Source organism: Homo sapiens, chromosome 2 (assembly GCF_000001405.40).
Source record: "Homo sapiens chromosome 2, GRCh38.p14 Primary Assembly".
Classification (NCBI taxonomy): Eukaryota; Metazoa; Chordata; class Mammalia; order Primates; family Hominidae; genus Homo; species Homo sapiens.
The window spans coordinates 238,056,335-238,073,497 of NC_000002.12; the positions used below are offsets into that span (position 1 = coordinate 238,056,335).

Genomic DNA, 17,163 nt, shown 5'->3' on the forward strand with positions numbered 1-17,163 from the left:
TCTCCCCTTTGGCACTGGCGACACTTGGGGCTAATAATTTATTGTGGGGGATGCTCAGTAGTATAAATAGCCTCACTCACTACAGCCCAGAAGCACCACAGCTCCTGTTATGGTAACCAAAATTGTCTCCAGATATGACCAAAGGACCCCTGGAAGGAAAAATCACCTCTGCTTGAGAATCACCATATTCAATGGACAATTTTATTTCATATTTTCCATCTCTATCCTTTTGAGCAATAATCAGAGAATTCCTAGGGCCAGTTCACGAATTCACTCCTCAGCTATGCCTATTCTGCTCTTCAACCCATCTATTGGGGGGTTCTAAAAAAAACAATAAACCTTATTTATTAGAGGAGTTTTAGGTTCACTTGAAAATTGAGCAGTTACCATATATCCCCTGCCTGTGCACATGTACGCAACCTCCTCCACTATCAACATCCACTGTGGTACTTTTGTTAACAACTGATTAAACTTCATTGACACATCATCACCCATAGTCCATAGTTTACATTAGGATTCATTCTTGGTGTTGTATCTTCTGTGAATTTTGACAAATATATTACATGTATCCACCATTATAGTATACAAAATAGTTCATTGCCCTAAAAATTCTGTTCTCTGCCTATGCATCTTTTCCTTCCCCAACACCTGACAACTCATGTTGAGTTTTTAAACTTCAATTATTAATGTCTAGTATCTCTTTTCACTGTTTGTTCTTGTTTCATGACAGCCTATTTTTTTTTTTAAATAAAATACCCATTTGTCTCAAGACCTTGCTCTATTGGAGACCTACTCTGATAGCTCTATAAACTTTTTCCCTTAGGTGAGAATTCTATTTGGTGCACGTGCTATTGTGTCCGGAATTGGTGGGTTCTTGGTCTCACTGACTTCAAGAATGAAGCCGCGGACCCTCGCGGTGAGTGTTACAGTTCTTAAAGGCGGCGTGTCCAGAGTTTGTTCCTTCTGATGTATGGATGTGTTTGGAGTTTCTTCCTTCTGGTGGGGTTTGTGGTCTGGCTGGCTCAGGAGTGAAGCTGCGGACCTTCGCGGTGAGTGCTACAGCTCTTAAGGCGGTGCGTCTGGAGTTGTTCGTTCCTCCCGGTGGGTTCGTGGTCTCGCTGGCTTCAGGAGTGAAGCTGCAGACCTTCGTGGTGAGTGTTACAGCTCATAAAGGCAGTGTGGACCCAAAGAGCGAGCAGCAGCAAGATTTATTGCAAAGAGTGAAAGAACAAAGCTTTGACAGCGTGGAAGGGACCCGAGCGGGTTGCCACTGCTGGCTCGGGCAGCCTGCTTTTATTCTCTTATCTGGCCCTACCCACATCCTGCTGATTGGTCCTTTTTACAGAGAGCCGAGTGGTCTGTTTTGACAGGGCGCTGATTGGTGCGTTTACAATCCCTGAGCTAGACACAAAGGTTCTCCAAGTCCCCACCAGACTCAGGAGTCCAGCTGGCTTCACCCAGTGGATCCCCCACTGCGGCTGCAGGTGGAGCTGCCTGCCAGTCCCGCTTGCCCTGCGCCTGCACTCCGCAGCCCTTGGGCGGTGGATGGTACTGGGTGCCCTGGAGTAGGGAGCAGCGCTCGTCTGGGAGGCTCAGGCTGCGCAGGAGCCCATGGAAGTGAGGAGGTTCAGGCATGGCAGGCTGCAGGTCCCGAGCCCTGCCCCACGGGGAGGCAGCTAAGGCCCGGCGAGAAATCCAGCGCAGCGCAGGTGGGCTGGCACTGCTGGGGGACCCAGTACACCCTCCGCAGCCGCTGGCCCGGGTGCTAAGCCCCTCATTGCCCGGGGCCGGCGGGGCCGGCTGGCAGGCCGCTCCGAGTGCGGGGCCCGCCAAGCCCACGCCCACCCGGAACTCCAGCTGGCCCAGAAGCGCCCCGCGCAGCCCTGGTTCCCGCTCGCGCCTCTCCCTCCACACCTCGCTGCAAGCTGAGGGAGCCGGCTCCAGCCTTGGCCAGCCCAGAAAGGGGCTCCCACAGTGCAGCGGTGGGCTGAAGGGCTCCTCAAGTGCCACCAAAGTGGGAGCCCAGGCAGAGGAGGCGCCGAGAGCGAGCGAGGGCTGCCAGGGCTGCCAGCACGCTGTCACCTCTCACTATCTTCATGGAGATGCCATTCCTCAAATGTCTGGCCACTATGGGGCACTTGTGTTTGTATTAGAGACATCTTGGTAGGTCATCTGTTGCATGTGTGACCAGTATACTTGGAATGGTGGTAGCTGCTGCTGCGTGTTGTACCCTAAACTGTTTTCAGCTGGGCTACCTCAGCACCTGGGCTTCTGTATGTTTGTACTCAATTCTTTCGGGGTATCACCAGCCATGTTGGACACTATCTTGTCTGACTCCACCACTACACTCACTATGTTCACCTGGAAACACAAACCTTATTGCTGCCTAACTGGCCCAAGGAGTGCTTGGGATGAATCGTCACTTTGTCCATTGTCCTTGGGCTCCTATCCTTACAGCCTTCCAAACAGATTTAGAGAATGAATTCTCCCCATGCCTATCAACTTCCCTAGCCACCTTTACTCTTAACTTCATCCCCTATCGTCTCCTCCAGGACTTTGGCTCCTCTTCCTTGCACGTCCTGTTGGCTAACTCCCTTTAGCCTATGAACATGTTCAGTCTCTATTTGCTCTTAATCTTTTTTTTTTTTTTTTTTTTTGAGACGGAGTCTCACTCTGACTCCCAGGCTGGAGTGCAGTGGCATGGTTTCAGCTTCACTGTGTAACCTCCACCTCCCAGGTTCAAGTGATTCTCTTGCCTCAGCCTCCCCAGTAGCTGGGATTACAAGCATGCACCACCACAGTCGGCTACTTTTTGTATTTTTAGTAGAGACGGAGTTTTGCCATGTTGGCCAGGCTGGTCTCGAACCCTTGACCTTAGGTGATCCACCCACCTCAGCCTTTCAAAGTGCTAGGATTACAGGGGTGAAGCACCGCGCCCAGCTTGCCTGTAATCTTATACGCCTTTTTAATTCCTCCTTTCTCAACCGTTTTAAGAGTTGACTGCATTCTTCATTTTTTCATATCCCATCTTTGCATTCTAACTTCCATGCCTCTCCCATCACTGAGACTTCTCTCGCTAGTTTATCAGTGCCTCCTAATTGTTACGCACAGTAGACTTCGGATTGCCTCTCAGCCACACTTTACACTATTATGTGTCTTCTTGACTTTTTTGACATTCCTTCTCAATTCCCTTTCCTTTCCTCCTCTTTTGACTGTTCTCATGCTCCTGTGCATCCATTTGCTTCTTAAATGTTGGTGGGCCCTTTGCTATTGGCTGCATTTGGCAAGAAATGAGCTGCGTTTATAGGGAAGAATGAGAGAGAATGAGTCCAGAAATTTGCAGATTTGCTGTGCTGGAAAAGCCAAGTTATTCTGGACCCCAACAGGACACAAAATAGAGAAAGCCCATGAAAAGCCAATTAAAATTCAACCTCTTGGCAAAGCATGCTTGAAACCGAATTTTGGCTCCAGCCACTACTCGTGTGAACTTGGGCAAGATGCCTTTCTGTATCTTGGATTCCTCATACATAAATACCTACCAGACTGGGTTAATCATCAAGATTAAATTAGTGAACACACGAAAAATACCTAGAACACTGCCTGGCATAGTTCAAGGCTCAATTAAAGGTAGACACTATTATGCCAAAAAAACAAAAAACAACAAAAAAAGTGACGGTAGGATGGCTTCGTGAGGATTTTTGCTCATTTCTACCACTTTCTCAACTGACTTTTCTTAATGGTTGGCGGGACACCAACCATTGGTGGATGTTTACACTTGTGACTGTCTCACAGACAACTCAACATGTCCAAAGCTAAACCCATCATCTTTCCCCCTCCCGTCTTCCCTCTTACCCAGATAAAGGCACTAACATCTTCCCAGTCACTTGTCTAATCCTTGCTTCCTTCCTGTCCCTCATGCCCCAATTCCTATTTAACGGCCTAAACAGATCTTGAATTAATCTTTCCTGCGTTTCCACGCCCACTTAGAGTCCCTCATCTCTGGCCCTATTTTCTCAATGCCCTCCCATCCTCTACTCCAGATCCCCTCAAGTCCATCCTCGATGCGTGACTCTTAACTTCACGCCATCCAGGTCCCCTATGGAGCCGCTCCGACTAACGGACGCGCAGGTCCAGCGGACCTGCTCATCACTGTCCAGGGTGGCCTGCGGGAGACCCCCGGGGCCCTGGCCCTGCTGCCGCGGCCCCGGCACTTCCCCTCGAGGGTTCGCGGGGAACAAGGCCGCGCGGCCCCGGCTCTCCCGGAGTGCACGGTCCCGCGCTCATGCGGCTAGAGGGAGGCACCCGCAGGACTGCCCAGCCGCCTCTGCTCCTCAGGTCCAGCTCGGGCCCCGCCTGCTCTTACGCCGACTAACCGGCCGCGGCCCGATGGCGGCCCTGCCGCAGACAGCAAAGGTCACGGGGCTCCCCCGGAAGTGAAAGTGCGGGGATCCGCCGGCCCAGGAGACGCGGCTTCTAGCGCCCGGTTCCCGGGAAGCTCTGTGACGCGCTAAGCCCCGCCCCCACCCGTCACCTGACCCAGCGCAGCCTCGCCTCCCCGCTGGGGGCTCGGCGGCCCTCTGAAGCGGGTGGATTGGCTGGGGTGCTTCGCTCAGCCAATCCGGACGCGCCCGGGCGTCGCGGCCCCGCCTCCTCCCCGGCGCTCTGGGCCCGTAGCGCTCCGCGGGAAGGAGGCTGGATGCCCGGCAGCAGTGGGGCGGGGATGGAGGCGGCCGTGGCGCCGGGGAGGGATGCGCCGGCACCCGCGGCGAGTCAGCCCAGCGGCTGCGGGAAACACAACTCGCCGGAGAGGTGCGCGCCTTTAGGGCAGGGCTGGGGAGCGGCCGGCGCCTGTCGCCGATTGTCCCGCGCGGGAGGACGAAGGGGGCTCCCGGCCTGTGGCCGCTCTCGCGTGGGGCGTCCCGCGCGGGGATGTCCGCGAGGTCGGCCTAAGTCAGGGATGCGAGCTTCAAGGAGGAGCGGGTGCGAGCTGTGGCCCCGCAAGGGCCCACGGAGAGGTGACTTTGGGGCCGAAACCCGAGTGACTTCCAGGGGTGAGGTTTGCAGGTTCTGGGGAAGCAGAGCCTGCCAGGAAGAGGGCACAGCAGATGCGAAGGGCAGGGGACTTGCCGGAGGTGAACCGGCAGAGCCCCTGAGCCCGGGAAGAACTTTGGGGTTCATTCGGAGCCTTATGGGGCCTCGGAAGTTGATCACGGGGCGATGCAATTTAAGTGTTTTGAAGGAGTCCTTCTGGCTGCTTCCTAGAAAGTAGGGGCGCGGGTAGGCATGGGACGAGAGGAAGCCGGGAAGCCAGTTGGGGATCTTGTAACAACCTAGGAGAGAGATGTGGTGTGCGCCCAGAAACGGATGCGTTGGTAGGAAGCTGGTGCACTGGGGCAGGTGAAAGGGAATCAAGGGTTCTCCCAGACTGCTGGCCCAGCTGCAGGAAACGGGATGGCCACCGCTGAGAAGCGCGGAGACCCGAAGCACGTGGTATCCATACTAGTTAAGTCCGAGAAGAGCAGGAGGCAGGGGTATGCATTTTCTGGTTTGTGTGTCTTCTTTCCAGACCCCTCTTTTTCCTTTTTGTGAGCTCATTCGCTACCCATGCTTAGAATATGAGGGGGTCCAGGCCTAAAGCACACACATTTGGCATTCTACCTTGGTTGGAACAAAGTGAAGGGATCTGGGAAAATATCCCCTAGGGAATCAGTGGAGCGAGATTCCCAAGATTTTTTATTTTTTGGTTATGAAGCTAACAAAGTTGAGCCTGCTCATCCAATACTGATAGCATTTTAAGGAAGCAGCAAATAATGAAGCAAAGGAATGTGTAAAGTATTAATCTGAACAAAATAGATTTGTTCAGCCCAGCAGCAGATTGAAGAGCTACAGTCGCTCAACAAACACTAGCTAGCCTAAGGTACTTTGGATGCTTATTTATAGGAAAGAAAAACAGATATAAGGGCACATGCAAAGTCAAGCCGGGCTGGGGGATTCCTAGGACTATTAATACTAGTACCAGAGTGGTAAAGGATGGCGAGTCAAACTTGTCAAAGCCTTGTACCTATTGAGTGATTTTTTTTTTTTTTTTTAATTGAGATGGAGTCTCACTCTGTCACCCAGGCTGGAGTGCAGTGGTGCAGTCTTGGCTCACTGCAACATCCACTGCCCGGGTTCAAACGATTCTCCTGTCTCAGCCTCCCAAGTAGCTGGGATTACAGGCACGTGCCACCACGTCCAGCTAATTTTATTGTATTTTTAGTAGAGATGGGGTTTCGCCGTGTTGGCCAGGCTGACCTTGAACTCCTGACCTCAGGTGATCTGCCCGCCTTGGCCTCCCAAAGTGCCGGGATTACAGGCGTGAGCCACAGGGCACAGCCTGTTGAGTGATTTTGAACAGAAAAGATGCTTCATTTCAACTAATGCACATTCTGTCCACACTCAGTGGCTTAACAGCCACAGTTAGTCATTGTATCTGGGTTTTCATGTGGATTGGTGTAAGCACTGTTTATTTAAAAACTAGATAAATTAATATCAGGCAGGACTACTACTACACATTTTTCTAAAGGCTTTCGAAGGTTTTGGATATTAGTAAAAAGATATACAGATAAATTTTACTTAGTGAGGGATCTTTCAGGGAATTTGTACTTTCTGTGGCATTTATTTTGTCATCTTATAAAAATCAGGCCCCTGTTGTGTGGCAACCATGGGCTTCAACATTGGTGACAGGGCAGTGAGAAAAACAGAGCCCCCATGCCCATGGAGCCATACTTCTGTTACTCTATTAAGGTAGACAGTAAGGGAACAAGTCTGGTATGTCAGATGATGATGCTGCCCAGAAAGGAAGGCGGGAAGGGGACCTGGAGGCTGGGGAGGTAGGGACATAGGTGGCTGCAGTTTTGTGGGTTTGTTTTTTTTGTTGTTGTTTTTTTTTTTTTTGAGACGGACTCTCACTCTGTTGCCCAGGCTAGAGTGCAGTGATATGATCTCGGCTCACAGCAACCTCTGCCTCCTGGGTTCAAGCAATTCTTCTGCCCCAGCCTCCCTAGTAGGGCTAATGTTTGCATTTTTAGTAGAGATGGAGTTTCACCATGTTGGCCAGGCTGGTCTCAAACTCCTAACCTCAAGTGATCCACCTGCCTTGACCTCCCAAAGTGCTGGGATTATAGGCGTGAGCCACCGCGCCCAGCCAGCTGTAGTTTTAAGCAGAGCTGCAGGGCAGGGGGTCTCACAAGAGGACTAAGTTGGAACAAAGACCTAAAAAAGTAAGGTGGGGGCAGGGCATGTAGTCTTTCTGGGCAAAGAAACTGAAAGTGCAAGGTCTGGGGCCAAAGTTCACCTGCCCCAGGGAGAAGCCCAGGTCACTAGGAGCCCCACAGGCCATCGCAAAAATGAGTGTGGGGAAATAAGGCGAACCTCTGATGAAGTTAAAACAGCAGACAGGAAAGTTCCCTTGGGGAATGTGCAGCTGTTCCCCTCCTTCCATAAGGAAGAGGCCAGTGATCTGCCCTTTACAGCAGTCAGATGGGTAATCTGGGCCCAACAGACCATTAATCCTACCAAGGGGTAGAAAGAGTGTTTGTTATTAGAGACTGGGTCTGGCTGTGTTGCCCGGGCTGGAGTGCAGTGGCTATTCATAGGCACCATCATAGCTCACTGCAGCCTCAAACTTCTGGCCTCAAGAGGTCATTCCGCCTCAGCCTCCCACATGGCTGGACTACAGGCACAATCCACTGTGCCTTGCTAGAAAGAAATTTTGAAAACCGAAATGAAAATCCAAGTCCTATCAATTATAAAAGAAATTGACAAAAACTAGAGTCTTAGAAATTATGCATGCATTTTCCATAAGTAGTGTAGATCTGTAGATTCCCAAGTGCAGCTTGTGGATGCCTGCAGTGCTTATGCAGAGGATCACCATGCCCTTGACATTATTTGCTCCTGCCGATGGGATAGACACAGAGCAGCCATATTTCCCATATGCCATCTCCTTTTCCTTAATGGGTGTCTTTGCTTTCTTTCCTTCAGGAAAGTTTATATGGACTATAATGCAACGACTCCCCTGGAGCCAGAAGTTATCCAGGCCATGACCAAGGCCATGTGGGAAGCCTGGGGAAATCCCAGCAGCCCGTATTCAGCAGGTAATTCTAGAAGATGCACGTGTTCACTGATGGGAGATAATGGGGATGGGGCGCTCTTAGAGAAATTGCACACCCACACGTGACGGCTTTGTTTTGAATAGGTTTCTGTTAGCTGCAATTCTTGAGCTGTAATTTTTGATAGTTTCTTTTCTGGGAAGGCCCCATTTGTAAGCTGAGCCTTGTCGATACTGTAATCTTTAACCTTTAATGTTTAATCTTTAACATGCTGTCCTGTCACCCTTTCCCAGATGAGAAAGGTGTCTACTGAGAGTTCCTTGAAGTAGCAGTCAGTACCTGTGGAGCACTTCACAGATCTAGCTCAGTCAATCCTTACAGAATTTGCAAAATATGTCTTTTAGGTCATCAGGATAACATATAATCCTGGCCCTTTTTAAAGATGAAAATTACTTTTTCATTAATTACTTTAGTTATGAATATTCTTATTTGTTTCCAATTTATTCTTATTGTAATGTAGACCATTAAATTGGAGGTTTTGGAGAAGAATTTGCTTCAAGTCAGTTATATGACAGAGTTACATTCTGTTTTTCAGACAGATGAGCAAGCTAAAGTCTTACCTTTCTTATTTCATGTTTATGAGAGATAATTAAGATAAACTGTGTTAACTGTGGATGATGATGAACTAAATTAACTTCAAACAGAATATTGCCAGGCCATACGATTTAGTAACACTTGCGTACAATTTACAGGTTTAATACGTTCTCCTATCCATTTGCTTATTAAACGTTTCACGGCAACTTAATAACAAAGCCCTTCAGCTCAGATACTAGTCATTCATTAACTTATTTGTTGGCTTATTTGTTGGTCTATTCTGGCTAATCTTCTGCACATTGCCTCGTATCCAGTCTCTCCTCTAGTAAAATTGAAATTTCTGACGTATTAGACTTGAAAATATGGAGAATAATTAAATGCCGATGACAGGCATTGTCTCATGAAAAAGTCTGGGAATCGCTCTCAGGGAGAAATCATGTTCTGGACCTGAATGAAGCCTGGCAGTGGCTTTTAGGTTTCCTTGATAGCCTTTGTTTCCACAAATTAAGAACCATAAACTCAAAAGTGTTGCAGTTCACTTTGTGTTGCTACTCAGATCGAAATGCAAAAGAAAAAAAATCAATTTATAGAGTGGTTTAATTATTTTCACAATATTGTTATTTAAACTAATAATATTTTATTTTATTATTATTATTATTATTATTATTATTATTTTGAGATTGAGTCTCGCTCTCGCCCAGGCTGGAGTGCAGTGGTGCAATCTCGGGTCAATGCAACCTCCGCCTCCCGGATTCAAGCGATTCTTCTGCCTCAGCCTCCCAAGTAGCTGGGACTAGAGGCACGCGCCACCATGCCTGGCTAATTTTTGTATTTTTAGTAGAGACGGGGTTTCACCATCTTGGCCAGGCTGGTCTTGAACTCCTGACCTTGTGATCCACCCACCTCGGCCTCCCACAGTGCTGGGATTACAGGTGTGAGCCACCATGCCCAGCCTAAATATTATCTAAAGCCTTTGAGGGAAATTTATTTTAAGGAATATGTTGAGGATGTGGGGATTTTACATACCTAAGATATTTATCACAGTCTTGCTTATAATAGCAAAACAAACAAAAACCCTGAAAATAAGCTCAGCATTCATGAATTTTTATGAAAAATAAACTATCTTCGGCAAAACAAGAAACCTAGTGAGCATTGCACTGTTGTGCATGTGGAAGTCTCTTTACTGCCTGTTGCTGGAAGATAGCTGGCGCTCATACCTCCCCGTCCAGCCCACTGCAGTCACATCATAGTGACGGAAGCCTCTGGAAGGTTCACCATATACCTGTGAGAAAAGGAGCGTGAAAAAGGCAGTTCTTCTCTTAGTATCATCATGAAAACAGTTTTGACTTTGTGGACCTCCTGAGAGGGCCTTGGGGTTTTGGAAACCGCTGACGTAAGCAGCACTGACTGAGCACCAGCTGTGTACTCAGCACCCTGTTGGGGGAGGGATGAAGCACGGTGCCCAAAATGTATTTGGGTTTTCGAGGCATTACTTTGTCCACTATGTGGAGAATGGACCCTGGTGGGGGCCTGCTAGGAGAACATCACAGCAGTGGCCTTGGCTTGGTTGGTGGCTGGGCGGTGGAGAGGCAGAGTCAGGTTTGGAACATCGTTTGAACACAGAGCCTACAGCATTTGCTGGTGGATTAATTGGCGGGGAATGAAAAGGGAAAGAGCCCACGCTTTTGCCCTGGGCTGCTGAGGGATGGAGTTGCCATTTCCTGAGTGTATTAGTCTGTTCTCATGCTGCTAATGAAGATGTACCTGAGACTGGGTAATTTATAAAGGAAAGAGGTTTAATTGACTCACAGTTTCCCATGGCTGGGGAGGCCCCACAATCACGGAGGAAGGCGAAAGAGGAGCAAAGTCACATCTTACATGGCAGCAGAGAAGAGTGTGCGTGCAGGGGAGCTCCCCTTTATAAAACCATCAGATTTCATGAGACTGATTCACTATCACGAGACTAGCATGGGAAAGACCTGCCGCCATGATTCAGTTACCTCCCACCGGGTCCCTCTGATGACGTGGGAATTATGGGAGCTACAATTCAAGATGAGATTTGGGTGGGGACACAGCCAAACCATTATCACTGAGAGAGGGAAGGCTGAGAGTGAGGGTGACAGTTTATTACGGTGACTTTTAGTGTCACCAAGAAAAATGATGGAGTTTTCCTAAACACCACTTAGGTGTTTAGGAAACTACTACTAAAACTGACATCTATACAGTAGCGTTAAGGAGCAGCAGAATTACTTTGCATATTTATTTTACCTCAGCTTTTTATATTTCTCTTTTTTATGATGTTTCGTAATAGTATATGTTTTAGCGGTGCCTGCTCAATTTTTTCTTATTTTTAAATAAGACTGAATGGTCAAAAAAGTTTGGGGACTCCTGGTGTGTACACTAAGAATGGTCACTGAAACTTTCGGCATTCCCATGCCAGAGCCTTTCCTTCTTTGCCCCATCAAGCATGGTTGCTGTGTTTTCCTTCTAGCCAGTGAAACTGGGTGATGGCCGGATGCATAGCCCTGTTTGAAAGCAGGTGTGTCCCTGAGACAGTAACCTTTGTAGCCCAGGTACCCTGTGGGCGACATGCAAAATGAGATATGGCACTGGACTTCGCGTCGAGTCATGAGTTCTGTTTTTGCTTATTTTTGTTGTTTGCAACTCATTCCATCCTTTCATTCTCCTCTCTTGATGAATGGGAAGCAAGGCAGATGGCCACAGCTGCCCTCCCTCTAGCATCCAGTAAGAAGAAAGCCACATCTTGGGGGACGTCCAGGTTCATAGCCAGACTCCCTTACTTGTTTCTGGGTCTCATGGAGTTAATAACTCTCAGTTTGGTCCCTGGTTCGCTGCTGTCTCGGCCGCCCCTTTGCCGGGTTGTGTCTAGGTTGTAGCATTTTGCTGTGCTCACATTAAGGGGCCAGGTTTTGTCTTAGAACGGCCCACGCAGACCTCTTATTCCTTTGTATTTGGTTGTCCTTTTAGATGCGTTGATTGAGCTTGGTGAAGCAATGTTAATGAATTTCCTTTTTGGTCCCTCAAGGAAGAAAGGCCAAGGATATTATAAATGCAGCTCGGGAAAGCCTCGCGAAGATGATAGGGGGGAAACCTCAAGATATAATCTTCACTTCCGGGGGCACTGAGGTAAAGCTTCTGAACACACTCACATTCTGTTAACTGTAAGTTATAATAAAATACACAGAAAGTGATTTCCTTTTGCTACATTTTCATTTAAAGAAAGAGTAGGCCAAGTGTGGTGGCTCATGCCTGTAATCCCAGTACTTTGGGAGGCCAAGGCAGGAGGGTTGGTTGAGCCCAGGAGTTTGCGACCTCCCTGAGCAACATAGGGAAAGTCCATCTCTACAAAAAAAAAAAAAATTAGCTGGGCGTGGTGGTGTACACCTGTAGTCCCAGCTACTAGGGAAGCTGAGGTGGCAGAATCATTTGAACCCAGGAATTCAAGGCTGCAGTGAGCTATGATCACGCTGTTGCACTCCATCCTGGGCAAGAGAGTGAGACCCTGTCTCAGAAAGAAAGAGAGTAATGTGTGGTCTTGCTATATTGCATACTAGCTCGAGATAATTAGTATATATCCTTTAAGTAAATTCCAGGTAGCCGATAGGATTTTTGTAATGTAATATGTAAAGTAACCTGCTTTGCATTGTTATTTCCATAAAGGTTTCCCCGTCATTGTTGCCCTGGAATCAGTCCTTTTCATCCCTAATTGATAGATATTTAAGGACTTTCCAAGGTTTTGCTGTAACAAACAGTGCTGCACTTAATAAATAACCTTTATACACACTATTTTGTTTCACTGTGAATGTAGCTGTAGGAAAAAGTCCAAGAACTAGAATTGCTGGGTCACGGGGCTCATTTGGTAGATGTGATAAATGGCCCACAGTAGAGGTTGTACCAATTTATACTCCCACCAATAGTGGGTGGCTGGACAAAATACTCTTTATGGCAGATTTATAAAATTTAAAAATTCATAATATTCTATGCATATAACCACACTGCACTTATACCAATACATTTATATAAATTCTTAAAAATTAATAATATTGCTTAACTATAAAACAGACATAATTGACTGGAATCTCATGTTTTTGAATGTTGGAAAACCCCAAATCTTTCAAAAGGTCCCACTCAGGAAGTTGAATTTCTTTGAAGCTTTTTTGATGTTAGCCACAAAAGAAATTAAGTAACAGAAATTGTTGCTCTGACCCTTACCTCAGCACAGTTTTTGTAAATGCTTTTTTTGCTGTATCTCTGCAGTCAAATAATTTAGTAATCCATTCTGTGGTGAAACATTTCCACGCAAACCAGACCTCAAAGGGACACACAGGTGGGCACCACAGCCCAGTGAAGGGGGCCAAGCCCCATTTCATTACTTCCTCGGTGGAACACGACTCCATCCGGCTGCCCCTGGAGCACCTGGTGGAAGAACAAGTGGCAGGTGAGTGAGTGCAGGGTGGCCCTGGGACCAGCCTGCTGAGCTCCAGCTGCGAGGCGGGAAGTGGCCTGCGAGCAGAGCCCGGGATCCGCTGCAGAGATGTAGATTCAGTGTGCCACTCACTGTAACTCACTGGTTCTGATGAGGAGGCAGGCCCTGGCACCTTGGTGAATAGTTGCCCCTCACTGCACTGGGCTCCCTGGCTGCCCCTCTCGGTGCAGAGGCCAGCTGCCACAAGGGGGTTGGCAAGTGTGGCCAAACTTTCCCTTAGGAAGTTCATTGAGAATGAATATGTAGAACTAGCCATTTGTATAACTGAGTGATATTTGAAACTTGCATGTAATAAATATTTAACCTTTAAATAGTACGCCTGCAAATAGGCAAATGATGCTTGTCATTATTTGGTTTTCATCATAAAATCTCAGCTCCCACTCTCCTCTCACATGAAGGAAAAGGATCAAATAGACCTAAACTTCAGGTGTGAAGCCTGGAATAAGCGAGCTGCCGCACCTGATCTCAGCACCCATGACGCGAGGCCTCCTGCTATGTGTGGAGAAGCGGAGTGAGGTGGTGCCCAAGTGCGGCAGGAGGCGCAGGGGCCCTCAGGGAGGAGGAGGCTCGCTGCAGCAGCAGTGGCCTTGTGGCTGTCACACAGCACGGACAGAGCCACAGAGTCATAGGAAGTCCCAAAAGGGAGTGACATGTTCACCAGGTGTAGATCATTAACTTGTAAAAATGGGGCAGCCAATTAATCAACACTATCCTTGAGACAGATTTTCTTCTCAACCTGAGTTTTCTTGTGTAATCTGTCTGGAAACCTGCAGGTGAATAAAAAGAAAATATTTTTATTTTAAAGATTAAGGGACTGTGGCCAAACTGCTTGGTTTGACTATGAAGCCTTTTTTGAAAAAAAAATTTTTTTGGCTGGGCGCAGTGGCTCAAGCCTTGTAATCCTAGCACTTTGGGAGGTGGAGGCGGGTGGATCACTTGAGGTCAGGAGTTCGAGACCAGCCTGGCCAACATGGTGAAACCCCATCTCTACTAAAAATACAAAAATTAGCCAGTCATGGTGGTACGTGCCTGTAGTTCCAGCTTCTGGGGAGGTTGAGGCAGGAGAATCACTTGGATCCTGGAGATGGAGATTGCTGTGAGCCAAGATCCATTGTACTCCAGCCTGGGAGACAGCAAGACTCCATCTCAGGGGAAAAAAAAATTTATAACATTCTGTTTGTGGTCTTACTTGAATGCTTGCCCGTAGGTAAACATATTCACATGAAGGATTTAGATCCCAAGATTTAATTTTTTGCCACTTAAAAAAATCTAATTTTCTTATTTAAGTACTGTTAGTTTTTGGTACCTTTTTTTTTTTTTCTTTGAGATGGAGTCTCACTCTGTTGCCCAGGCTGATGCATAGTGGTGTGATCTCAGTTCACTGCAGCCCCTGCCTCCCAGGTTCAAGCAATTCTCCTGCTTCAGCCTCCTGAGTAGCTGGGATTACAGGCACACGCCACCATGCCCGGCTGATTTTTATATTTTTAAGAGAGATGGGGTTTCACCATGTTGACCAGGCTGCTCTTGAACTCCTGACCTCAGGTAATCTGCCTGCCTTGGCCTCCCAAAGTGCTGGGATTACAGGTGTGAGCCACCTGAGCCCGGCCAGAGCCCAGCCTCTGGTACCTTTTTTTCCCTATCTTACCAATACAGAGAAGGGCAACTTGGTATACATCATTATTAGTTACTGTTGTAATTAATTAACCTTTTGTTTAAAATTGTACAATTTAAAAAATGTATAGACATGCATGTGATGGAAATAGTTAAAATATTATAGAAAAGTATAAAGTAAAAAGTCTGCCAGGGCACGGTGGCTCACGCCTGTCATCCCGGCACTTTGGGAGGCTGAGGCGGACAGATCACTTGAGGTCAGGAATTTGAGACCAGCCTGGCCAACATAGCAACCCCGTCTCTACTAAAAATACAAAAAAAATTTAGCCGGGCGTGGTGGTGGGCACCTATAATCCCGGCTACTCGGGAGGCTAAGGAGGAGAAGAATCACTTGAACCTGAGAGGGAGAGGTTGCAGTGAGCCAAAATCGTGCCACTGCACTGCAGCCTGGGCGACAGGGTGAGACACTGTCTCCAAAACAAAAAAACAAAAGTCATTCTCCTGCTGCCCCTAAACCTCTGCAGCAGCAACCACTGTTACAGTTTGCCTTGAGTTCTTCTTGTGGATATTATCATTTTAACCACTTCCAGTTTAAGCTAAATAACTTAAAAACCTAACCCCCAGTTCTTGGTTTATCAACACAAGCATCCTCAATGTAAAAATAAGGACTTGGACCTTCATAAGCCTTCCTCGCACTCCCTCTGTCTCCACACATCCCAGTGGATTTCTTGTATATCGGCTTTAATGAGCTATCATTCATCCACTTAAAGTGTACAGTTCAGCAGTTTTTAGTGTGCTCACCAGGTTGTGCAGCCATCACCACTATATTTTTCAGTTATAGAAAATTTTTCTATAATTTTCAGTTATAGAAAATTCTCGCCAGCCCCAAAAGAAACCTTGTACCAGTTAACTGTAAATCTTCATTTCCCTCAACTCTAGGCAACCACTCATCTACTTTCTGTCTCTACAGATTTCCCTATTCTAGACTCCCCTATGAATGGAATCTTATAACGTGCTCTTTTTGACGGGCTTCTTCCATTTAACATAATGTTTTCAAGGTTCACTCATGTTGTAACATGTATTTAATTCATTTTCTACAGATGAACAACATTTCATTGTCTATCTGTACCACATTTGATTTGTCTGTCAGTTGATAGACATTTAGGTTGTTTCCATTTGTTGGCTGTTACGACTAATGTGACATTTGTGCGTATGTTTTAGTGTATTGGTATGTTCTTATTTCTTTTGGGTTTATACTTGAGTGAGATTGCTGGGTCATGCGGTAACTATCTGACAAATGTTAGGTAACTGTTTAACCTTAAGCTTTGTTTTCCAAAGTAGCCACACCACTTAGTACTCCTATTTGCAGTGTCACAGGGTTCCAATTCCTCCATGTCTTTGCTGACATTTGTTATCTGTCTTTTTGATTATTGCCAGCCTAGTAGGTGTAAAGTGGTATCTCATTTTGGTTTTGATTTACAATTCCCTGATGGCCAGTAGTGTTGAGCATCTTTCATGTACTCCTTGGCCATTTGTATATATCTTCTTTGGAAAAATGTCTATTAAAGTCCTTGCTCCTATTTTAATTGGATGACTTGTCTTTTTATTGAGTTGTAAGAGTTCTTTATATATGCTTGATACAAGTCCCTTGTCAGATAGATGATTTGTAAATATTTTCTCTCATTCTGTGGGTTTGCTCTTGCTCTCATGGTATCCTTTGAAGAACAGAAGCTTTTCATTTTGATGAAGTCTATTTTTGTTGTTGTTGTTGTTCCTTGTGTCATGTCTAAGAAGATTTTGTCCTACCCAAGGTCATGAAAATGTACTCATATTTTCTTCTAAGAGTTTTATAGTTTTAGCTCTTACATTTAAATCTGTGGTACATTTTGAGTTAATTTTGTGTGTGGTGTGAGGGAGGAGTCCAAATTTACTTTTTTTGCATGTGGACATCCAGTTGTTCCAGCACATTTGTTGAAAAGACTCTTCTTCCATGGATGGTCTTGGCACCCTTATTGAAAATCAGTTGACCGTAATATGTGAGGGTTTATTTCTTGACTGTCAACTCTATTCCATTTACCTGTATTTCTGTTCTTAGATTGGTACCAAACTGTTATGATTACTGTAGTTTGTAGTAAGTTTTGAAACAGGAAAGTAGGAGTTCTCCAAATTTGTTATTTTTTAATATTGTTTTGGCTATTCTGCATCTGTTGACATCTCAAAAGAATTTTAGGATCAGCTTGTTAAATTCTGCAAAAATCTAGCTAGGAGTTTGATAGGGATTGAATTGAATCTGTAGATGAATTTGGTCAGTATTGCTACCATAACAATATTGTTTTCCAATCCATGAACATGTGATGTCTT

At 46.5% G+C, this 17,163-nt stretch overlaps 1 protein-coding gene and 1 long non-coding RNA gene across 2 annotated transcripts in view, besides 4 other annotated features; both read left to right on the forward strand.

Annotated features, from left to right (window-relative positions):
* The window catches only part of UBE2F-SCLY (UBE2F-SCLY readthrough (NMD candidate)), a 132,469-nt gene that overhangs the window by 89,390 nt on the left and 25,916 nt on the right, over positions 1-17,163 (forward strand). The window contains exons 8-11 of the long non-coding RNA NR_037904.1: positions 824-916; positions 8,023-8,135; positions 11,731-11,831; positions 12,963-13,143. This is a non-coding gene — a long non-coding RNA (UBE2F-SCLY readthrough (NMD candidate)). The remainder of the gene's footprint in view (positions 1-823; positions 917-8,022; positions 8,136-11,730; positions 11,832-12,962; positions 13,144-17,163) is intronic.
* Positions 948-1,117: an enhancer, noted in NCBI's record as "experimental_57261 CRE fragment used in MPRA reporter constructs". NCBI's record gives its function as "activates a minimal promoter by MPRAs in K562 erythroleukemia cells, with activity observed for both the introgressed and non-introgressed 2:238966008 or rs6761839 variant alleles {active_cell/tissue: K562}" and the evidence as "EXISTENCE:reporter gene assay evidence [ECO:0000049][PMID:34662402]".
* Position 1,033: a transcriptional cis regulatory region, noted in NCBI's record as "Neanderthal adaptively introgressed variant 2:238966008 (GRCh37/hg19 assembly coordinates) or rs6761839 in the experimental_57261 CRE". NCBI's record gives its function as "modulates activity of the experimental_57261 enhancer by MPRAs in K562 erythroleukemia cells {active_cell/tissue: K562}" and the evidence as "EXISTENCE:reporter gene assay evidence [ECO:0000049][PMID:34662402]".
* Positions 4,077-4,286: a silencer, noted in NCBI's record as "silent region_12484". NCBI's record gives its function as "represses an Ori minimal core promoter by ATAC-STARR-seq in GM12878 lymphoblastoid cells {active_cell/tissue: GM12878}" and the evidence as "EXISTENCE:reporter gene assay evidence [ECO:0000049][PMID:35858748]".
* Positions 4,427-4,876: a silencer, noted in NCBI's record as "silent region_12485". NCBI's record gives its function as "represses an Ori minimal core promoter by ATAC-STARR-seq in GM12878 lymphoblastoid cells {active_cell/tissue: GM12878}" and the evidence as "EXISTENCE:reporter gene assay evidence [ECO:0000049][PMID:35858748]".
* SCLY (selenocysteine lyase) overlaps positions 4,667-17,163 on the forward strand; it is a 38,413-nt gene continuing 25,916 nt past the window's right edge. The window contains exons 1-4 of the mRNA NM_016510.7: positions 4,667-4,809; positions 8,023-8,135; positions 11,731-11,831; positions 12,963-13,143. Coding sequence (NP_057594.5) covers positions 4,721-4,809; positions 8,023-8,135; positions 11,731-11,831; positions 12,963-13,143 — 484 coding nt within the window. The 5' untranslated portion in view covers positions 4,667-4,720. The remainder of the gene's footprint in view (positions 4,810-8,022; positions 8,136-11,730; positions 11,832-12,962; positions 13,144-17,163) is intronic.